This window comes from Homo sapiens, chromosome 17 (assembly GCF_000001405.40).
Source record: "Homo sapiens chromosome 17, GRCh38.p14 Primary Assembly".
Lineage (NCBI taxonomy): Eukaryota > Metazoa > Chordata > Mammalia > Primates > Hominidae > Homo > Homo sapiens.
The window spans coordinates 15,689,895-15,697,643 of NC_000017.11; positions in this window are offsets into that span (position 1 = coordinate 15,689,895).

Sequence of the window (7,749 nt, forward strand, 5' to 3'; positions counted from 1 at the left end):
GGTTTCAATAGTCTTTTTATTGGTTTTTGTGTACATGACTTCCTTGATTTTTGAGCATTTATTATTTCTGTATTTCGTATTCCTTTGGCTTAACCTGCTCCTTGAATAAACTTCTTAGCTCACTTGTTTCCAATTTTTCTTAAATGAATTTAAATTATAAATATTTTCTAAATACTCTTCTAGACGTACTCTAACATTTCTGAATAACTTGTGATTCAGGTTTAAGTATTTTGTAACTTCTTACACTATTTTCTCTTTAACCCCAAATTTACTTAGTATTGTGGGGTTTTCTTTATTTTTGTTTTTAATATTCAGAAAAAGTTTTAGCTCTCTTTTCTTTTTGATTTCTAATTTTATTGCATATCTTCAAAGAGCAATAGATCTGTGCTGTCCAAAATGGCAGCCAATATAGCCATGTGTGTACCAAGCACTTGAAGTGCGCCTAGTCTGAATTGAGAAGCATTGTAAGTGTAAAAAACACCTCCAAATTATGAAGACAGTGCAAACAATATAAAGTATCTTATTGATAAGTTTGATATTGATTACAAGCTAAAATAAAATATATTGGACATGTTGGGTTAAACAAATATGTTTATGTAATTAATTTCACCTCTTTTAAAAGTTTTTAAAATAGAGTAACTAGGCCGGGCGCGGTGGCTCACGCCTGTAATCCCAGCACTTTGGGAGGCCGAGACGGGCGGATCATGAGGGCAGGAGATCGAGACCATCCTGGCTAACACAGCGAAACCCCGTCTCTACCAAAAAATAAAAAAAATTAGCCAGGCGTGGTGGCGGGTGCCTGTAGTCCCAGCTACTCGGGAGGCTGAGGCAGGAGAATGGCAAGAACCTGGGAGGCGGAGCTTGCAGTGAGCCGAGATTGTGCCACTGCACTCCAGCCTGGGTGACAGAGCGAGACTCCGTCTCAAAAAAAAAAAAAAAAAAAATAGAGCGACTAAAAATTAAAATTACATATGTGGCTTACATTATATTTCTCTCTATATATAGTGGTATTGATGCATGTGAATTATTTTAAATCTCACTGAAGAATCATCTGTATTTTAGCATATGGTCAACTTCCCTGAATAATGCATGCGTGCTAGAAAAGAATGTATATTCTCTGTTTGTTGCATGTAAAGTTGCATGTAGACCTATTATCTTGAGATTCATAATCCTGTTATTGAAACTCCTAAAGCTCTCCTTCCTTTTATCTTCTTGATATATTGGTTTTTCAGAGGATTATGTAAAATTTTCCTACTATAGTTATTGATTTTTCTTTCAGTCGTTATACCTTCTTGATTTCACATTCCTTTTATAAGTTTATAATGTGTCCAGACAAGGTGTTGTAGATTTATTTTTCCTCGTTCCTTCCTGCTGATTACTATGAACACTAGAAATAACAAACAAGAACTCTTGACAGGTAGGAAAAGGAAATTGGACTGGGTAGACAGGGACCCCAGGACTGGAGGAACATCATGTTAGTGGGGCATCTTATAACCCCAAGCCTAGCAATAGAAGATGGCCCACGTAGACTTATTCCTCCCCCTGTGGAACAAGGGCCCCACTAACAACACCAGGTAGGCCTGGAGGGATTGATTGGAAACCCCACTAACCATAAGCAGCCAGAGGGGATCCCATCAGGCCTGAGACTCTCCTCTCCCATCTAGAGCAACAGGTGGATGGGCAGTACCATCACAGGGGACCTGCCACAGCAATCACAAGCCCAATCAGACCTGGGAATTCCTATTCTCCCACCCCAAACACACAGACACACTCTCTCTCTCACACACACACACACACACACACATACACCCCTAGAGACACCAGGTGGTTGGTTAGTACAGGCAGGTGGAAATCCCACCATATAGAGATAGAGGACTCCACACAGGAAGCACTCTACTTCCATATGGACTGAAGAATCCCTTTCCCCACCTTGGCCTAGACTGGGCAACCTCTTTCCACTCATTCAGGCAACACCAACAGGGATCAGTAGATAACCCAGAGCGGACCAAAATAGTGACACAAAGGTTCTGAAGACTAAATAGTCACTGGAAGCACAGCCCACCACAAAAAGTAGACCAAGGCCTGTATACTATATACTAAACCTAAATAAATCTTCTAAAAAATGAAAGATTTAAATAGAACCCAAAGTGTCTTAATATCCAGAAATCAATCCAAAATTACCCATCATCCCAAGAAATAGGAATATCACAACTTGAAAGACAAAAGACAATCAACTAATGCTTATAGTGAGAAGAATCAGATTCTGGAATCATCTTGTCATGAGGGTTTAAAGCAGCCATCATAAAAAACAGTTTCAGTAAGAAATTACAAATTTTCTTAAAACTGATGAAAAAATAAAAAATCTTAGCAAAGAAATATGTTATAAAAAAAGAACCAAAATAAAATTATGAAATTAAAAATATACAATTACTAAAATATTTAAAACTCACTGGATGGGCTTGATAGTAGAGTGGAGATGACAAATAATAGAACCAGGGAACTTGAGGAGAGATCACTGTAATTTACCCAATCTGAACAACAAAAAGAAAATGGACTAAAAATAAATGAACACAGCCTCTGGACCTTTCTTTGGGACAATGACACAAGATCCAGGAATCTTAACATCAGAGTCCCAGGAGAGAAAAAAAAGAGTAGGACTGAGAATATTTAAAGAAAAAGCAGAAAATAATTTCCCAAATCTGGTTTATGTTCCAAATTATGAAAGACATATACTTACAGATTCAAGAAGCTGAACAAACCCCAAATAAAGTCAAATAAATTCCTACCAAGACACATCATAATTAAAATGCTGCAAACTAAAGATAAAACAACTATTAACAGCAGCAGACAGAAATGTTTCCATTACATCCAGGGGAACACCAATTTGATGACACCAGGTTTCATGTTTGAAATCATGAAGTCCAGAAACAAATAACACATTCTTTAAGTGCTGTCAACTTGAAGAAAAAAAGAAAAGGAACTGCAAACTGTGAATTGTATCCAGTGAAATTATCCTTCAGGAATGAAGAGGAAATCCAATCATTCTCAAATGTATGTAAACTACAAGAATTTGTCGCTATCAGATTTAGCCTTAAGGAATGGTTAAAGGAATTTCTCTAAACAAAAAGAATATAATAAATGAAAGTATCATGGAGTATCAGGAAGCAAGGAAGGAACAATAGAAAAAGTAAAAATAAGGTCAAATACAATAGGTCATACCTCTTCTCAAATTTTACAAAATAATGTCCATTTTTTGTCCATTATAATGTTTTTTTAATCTTGAGTTTAATTTTTTTTTTTTTTTGAGATGGAGTCTCGCTCTGTTGCCTAGGCTGGAGTGCAGTGGTGCAATCTCGGCTCACTGCAACCTCCGCCTCCCAGGTTCAAGCAATTCTCCTGCCTTAGCCTCCCAAGTAGCTGGGACTACAGGCACCCACCACCACGCCCAGCTAATTTTTGTATTTTTAGTAGAAATGGGGTTTCACTATGTTGGCCAGGCTGGTCTCAAACTCCTGACCTTGTGATCCTCCCACCTCAGCCTCTCAAAGTGCTGGGATTACAGTTGTGAGCCACTGCACCCAACCAAATTTAATTTTATTAATAATAACATTGTTATCTGGCTATTTTTTGTTCATATTAGCCTGGTTTATATTTTGTAATAACTTGGATTTTAATATTTTTGTTTTGCTTGAATTCCAATGTATGTTTTGAAAAAAAATAATGCTGCATTTTGTTTTTTTTACTTATTAGTTTTTTTGTTTTTTTTTTTTTGAGACAGAGTCTCGCTCTGTCACCAGGCTGGAGTGCAGTGGCACCATCTCAGCTCACTGCAACCTCCACCTCCCGGGTTCAAGTGATTCTCCTGCCTCAGCTTCCTGAGTAGCTGGGACTACAGGCGCCCACCACCATGCCTGGCTAATTTTTGTATTTTTAGTAGAGACAGGGTTTCACTATGTTGGCCAGGATGGTCTTGATCTCTTGATCTTGTGATCCACCCTCCTCGGCCTCCCAAAGTGCTGGGGTTACAGGTGTGAGCCACCGTGTCTGGCCCTACTTACTAGTTTTTAATCCAAATGGAGATTCTCAGCCTTTTGATAGATAAGTTTGACCCATTTACATTTATCGTGATAAATTATATTATAGGTCTTATTTTGTGTTTTCTTTTCTTTTTTTGAGACAGGGTTGTGTTTTCTCTTTTCCATACTTTCTGTTTCTTCTATTCCTCTTCTCTCAGTTTCCATGGAATAATCACTTCTTTTCATTTTTCTTTTTTTTTTTTTTTCTTGGAGATGGAGTCTCACTCTGTTGCCCAGGCTGGAGTGCAGTGGCATGATCTTGGCTCACTGCAACCTCTGCCTCCCAGGTTCAAGTGATTCTCCTATCTCAGCCTTCCAAGTAGCTGGGATTACAGGCATGCACCACCATGCCTGGCTAGTTTTGCATTTTTAGTAGAGACGGGGTTTCTGCATGTTGGTCAGGCTGGTCTCAAACTCCCAACCTCAGGTGATACACCTGCCTTGGCCTCCCAAAGTGCTGGGATTACAGGCGTGAGCCATGCACCGGCCAGTCACTTTGAATATTTTACATCCTATTTTTATTCTCCTGGTGCTTGTACCTAATTTATTAAAACCCACACCTGTTTCTTCCCCACCTCCCATCCATTTTTTATGGTTGTGAACGTGTATTTTTTTATGCTGATCGGCCCAGGGTACTATATACAGCAAAACTATTTTTTTTCTTTCTTTTCTTTTCTTTTTTTTTTTTTTGGAGACAGAGTCTCACTCTGTTGGCCAGGATGGAGTGCAGTGGCATGATCTCAGCTCACTGCAACCTCCGCCTCCCGGGCTCAAGCAATTCTCCTGCCTCAGCCTCCCGAGTAGCTGGGATTACAGGTGTGTGCCACCACGCCCGGCTAATTTTTGTATTTTTAGTAGAGATGGGGTTTCACCATGTTGGCCAGGCTGGTCTCAAACTCTTGACCTCAGGTAATCCGCCTACCTCGGCCTCCCAAAGTGCTGGGATTACAGGCGTGAGCCACCACACCCAGCCTTTTTTTTTCTTTTGAGATGGAGTCTCGCTCTATCTCCCAGGCTGGAGTGCAGTGGCATGATCTTGGCTCTCTGCAGCCTCCCCCTCCCAGGTTCAAGCGATTCTCCTGCCTCAGCCTCCTGAGTAGCTGCGATTACAGGTGCATGCCACTATGCCCAGATAGTTTTTTTTGTTCTGTTTTTTGTTTGTTTATTATCATTATTATTATTTTGAGACAGAGTCTCACTCTGTCACCCAGGCTGGAGTGCAGTGGCACAATCCGGGCTCACTGCAACCTCTGCCTCCCGGGTTCAAGCAATTCTCCTGCCTCAGCCTCCCGAGTAGCTGGGATTACAGGCATGTGCCACCATGCCTGGCTAATTTTTGTATTTTTAGTAGAGACAGGGTTTTGCCACGTTGGTCAGGCTGATCTTAAACTCCTGACCTTAAGTGATCCACCCACCTCAGCCTCCCAAAGTGCTGGGATTATGTGAGCCACTGCACCTGGCCAATGTTTTCTTTTTTGTATTTTTAGTAGAGATGGAGTTTCACCATATTGGCCAGGCTGGTCTTGAACTCGTGACCTCAAGTGATCCACCCACCTTAACCTCCCAAAATGCTGGGATTATAGGCGTGAGCCACCACACCCGGCCTAAAAACTGAAAATAGAACTACCATATGATTCAGCAATCCCATGACTGAGTGTTTATCCAAAGGAAAGGAAATGAGTATATCACAGGGATACCTGCACTTCCATGTTTATTGCAGCCATATTCACAATAGCAACTTAAGTGTCCATCAATGGATGACTGGATAAAGAAAATGTGATATATATACATAATGCAACACTATTTGGCCATAATAAAAAATGAAATACTATCATTTGCAGCAAGATGGATGTAACTGAAGGTCATCATGTTAAGTGAAATAAGCCAGGCATAAAAAGACAAGTACTGCATGTTCTCAGTCATATGTGGCAGCCAATAAAGTTCATCTTATGGAGGTAGAGAATAGAATGATGATTACCAGAGGCTGAGAAGGGTGTGGAGGGTGATGAAAAGGGGTTGATTAACAGGTACAAACACACAGTTAGATAGAAAGAATAAGTTAGAATCTTTAATAACACAGTTAACAACAATATATCGTATATTTTAAAATCACTAGAAAAGAACATTTCAAATTTCCCCAACACAAAGAAATGATAAATATTGAAGGTGATGAATATCCCAAATGCCCTGACTTGATTATTACATGTATTTTGCATGTATCAAAATATCACATGTACCCCATAAATATGTACAAATATTATTTATCAATATTACATTTTCTTCTTGTAATCAGTCCTGCTATTGACAAATCAGATTTATTTATGTAATTATTATTTGTTGAGAAGCCACAAAATGCCAGGCACTGTTTTTTTTTTCACGTCGATACCTTTTTTTCTTCTCAACAATCAAAATACAAAGTTAAACACAATTGAGCCATTGTTTTGGTTATGCATAATGTGTATGCCTCCAAAAACAGAAGAAAAATAGGAAGAAGTACCCTCACTAAAGGTTCCCTGACTCGTCTTCCGGCAGATCCAACGAAGGGAGACTCAGGAAAATCACACTTAGAAAGCTGCCCAATGAGGTATTTATGCAAAAAGAGTGTTCTGGAATTAAGAACATACTTTTATATTCCTGTATTTCTCAAAGAGATCAGAAAAGTAAATCACACACATTGAATTTTATTATTTTCTAAAAGAGGCCTCTGCCCCTTTAGAAAAATGAAATGAGGGGAGACAGCCCACGGTGGGGGTTTTAATTGGAAGAAGTCCTCGGCCAGAAACAGTCCTGAATGTTTAACCTCTGCCTTTCAGGAGAGAGGTCTGAATTTTATCATCTGGGGGGTGGGATGAAGGTCGGGGACTGAGCTGGAGGTCTTTAGGCTTGGTCAGGTGACAACACAAATCAACGTGTCGCTCAGGGTCCATAGCTGCTGGATGGCTTTTAGGGTGTCAGATGTTTAGGGAGACGGAGGGAACAGAGCACTGCAAAGATACTTTATTCCTATCTACTGGGAAAAATATGCTGGAAGTATTCAGCTTCAGGTCATGAATTCGACCTGCTGTAGAGGTGTAGGGTTTTTTTTTTGTTTTTTTTTTTGAGACGGGGTCTCACTCTGTCCCCAGGCTGGAGTGCAGTGGCGCGATCTCAGCTCACTGCAAGCTCTACCTCCCAGGTTCACGCCACTCTCCTGCCTCAGCCTCCTGAGTAGCTGGGACTACAGGCGCCTGCCACCACACCCGGCTAATATTTTGTATTTTTAGTAGAGACGGGGTTTCACCGTGTTAGCCAGGATGGTCTCGATCTCCTGACCTTGTGATCCGCCCGCCTCAGCCTCCCAAAGTGCTGGGATTACAGGCATGAGCCACTGCACCCGGCTGAGGTTTAGGTTTTTTCAGGTTCTCTCAACAGCAACCCACTGGAAGGTAAGTGTGGGGAATGCACCAGTTAGTTCCCACTGTCCAGGCTGATGGAGATCTGGCACTACCTGGTACTATTCCAGGCACTGTTTTTAACACTGAGGATTTTTTTTTTAATTGTGATTGTTTTCTTTTGTAGGTGATCTATGTTTTGTTTCTGGTAGGCTTTAGAATTTCTTCGTTAGATTTCACCGTAATATGTGGTGTCTTTTCATAATTTTGTTTGACTCTCTATCAATAATTTCAATATGAAG